The sequence below is a fragment of the Homo sapiens genome, chromosome 6, assembly GCF_000001405.40.
Source record: "Homo sapiens chromosome 6, GRCh38.p14 Primary Assembly".
NCBI lineage: Eukaryota > Metazoa > Chordata > Mammalia > Primates > Hominidae > Homo > Homo sapiens.
Window position 1 is genome coordinate 4,679,661 of NC_000006.12, and position 2,444 is coordinate 4,682,104.

Genomic DNA, 2,444 nt, shown 5'->3' on the forward strand with positions numbered 1-2,444 from the left:
ACCCCCACTCCAGAGACAAAAAGGCACTCAAAGCCCCTAGCATAATGTGCCTTGCCTAGGCCATTCTTGTAAGGGAGACTCCATTAGCAATTCTTCCCAGGCCAAGGAAAACCTGTGATCTTCTATCCTGCCTATACCTTCAAGCCATTGCCAACTTCTTTCTTGTACAAGAAAAACCAGTCTCGAAGGGTAATTCTGATTAGGGCACTCCTCAGGTAAAGCAGTCACGATGCTCTCGTTGAGCGCCAGCTGCATGCTAAGCACTTAGTGTTGGCACCTCCTAGACACATACCTCCCTGAGCATCTACGGCTCTCATCGGCAGTACAGACCAAGGTCTATGCCATGGCCTCCCAAACCTGGGTAGTTCCACGAACTGTCCAACAAAGTTTCAGTTAGGGTAAGTAGCATCTATTTATGATGATCAAAAAGAGGGCTATCTTTTTAGAAAGGTTTGCACCAAAGAGTTGAAACTTTACTCAAATAGACAGCTCAATCAGTATAGTACATACCATCTACCTACATGGGAAACTTGTGATCCGTAAATTATTTTGTTGTTGTTGTTGTCATTGTTTGAGACGGAGTCTCGCTCTGTCGCCCAGGCTGGAGTGCAATGGTGTGATCTTGGCTCACTGCAACCTCCACCTCCCAGGTTCAAGCAATACTCCTGGCTCAGCCTCCGGAGTAGCTGGGATTACAGGCGCACACCACCACACCTGGAAAATTTTTTGTATTTTTAGTAGAGACAGGGTTTTACTATGTTGTCCTGGCTGGTCTTGAACTCCTGACCTCAGATGATCCACCTGCCTCAGCCTCCCAAAGTGCTGGGATTACAGGCGTGAGCCACGGCACCTGGCTATCTTTAAGCCCTTAATTATGAGCGCTGTGCGGAAGAGTACACAACCTTTAGGATCTTGGCTGACACTTCCTCCATGTAAACCCCTTAATACCCACTGCAGCACTAAGTTCTATAAGGCAACTAAAACAGGCAGTTTATAAACCCAACACCAGGCAGAACCCATAAATAATAATGATGGTTTATAAAAGCCATTTCATTGAGGACTTTTTAAGCTTATTAAGCAGAGACTAGTATGAAGAATCCCCCTGCCTCCATCATTCAGTTTCAACAACCATCAACTTTCTGCCTTACTTATTGACCCCCCTCCACAGAGATACACACACAATTTCTTCTGGAGCTTAAAGGAGATCTCAGCCATCACATCATTTCAGCTGTAAGTACTTTAATATGTATCTCTAACAGATGGGGCTTTTTAAAAATAGCCATAACAGCCGGGTGCAGTGGCCTGCACCTGAAATCTCAGCGTTTTGGGAGGCCAAGGTGGGCAGATCACTTGAGGTCAGGAGTTTGAGACCAGCCTGGCCGACATGGTGAAACCCCATCTCTACTAAACATACAAAAATTAGCCGGGCGTGGTGGTGCACGCCTGTAATCCCAGCTACTTGGGAGGCTGAGGCATGAGAACTGCTTGAACCCCGGAGGCAGAGGTTGCAGTGAGGCGAGATCGTGCCACTGCCCTCCAGCCTGGGCAACAGAGCAAGGCCCTGTCTCAAAAACAAACAAAAAAATAGCCATAACACCACTGACCCACCCAACAAAACTAACATCTAATATACAGTCCATCCGTCCATCTTACATTGTCCTCGGCTCTCTCAAAAAATGTCTTTTTCCAGTTGGCAGCTGATACTCAAAGGAGTGCTGACCTCACAGAGAATCACAGTACAGAAACAAAGGTTTGTTGTCTTTGGCCTTCTCAGGGGCAATGGCCCTTCCTGCCTACCTCCACCCTACCTGCCATTCTCTAGGCAGAACCAGGGGTTGGGGGGACATAGTCAGAGCATTGATGGAGCAGGTGTCTTAAGCGTGGTCCTGATATCAACTTCTCCTCCAGATCAGCTCCTCATCAGAAAAGCCACCCTTTCTCAGGCCACTTTCCAGGTAGGCCCAAGAGATCAGGAAACATACCTGGCCGGAAGAGCCAGCAAGGCTCACTGCAGACCCTTGGCAACCCTATGGGGGCCACGAGGTTCAAGGATTTTGTGACATACTTAGAATGCAGTCCCTGAAGAGCTTGGGCTCTCAAGGGTGAGGGGGAAAGACACACCTAGTAATTTATAGGTTCAAATGAATACTCCCCTGTTCTGAAAAGCTTAGCAGGCTCTGCATGAGCAAATTAATTCATGCATCTGTCATGGAGAAGTTAGGGGCAGCCACCCAAGATTCTGGGACTTTAGGTAACAAGCCAGGGCAACATGGAACAAGCCTGTCAGACTTCCCTCCTAGAGCTCTGCATGCTACAGACTAGGATCAGTGCTCAAGCTACAGGTTCTAATAGAAATAGCACTATGTGTTAATTATAAGTTTAAAAAAGGAGAGAAGAAATAACTTTGTTTAAACCTGATCTTCTCTGCTGATAAAAATGTTTTT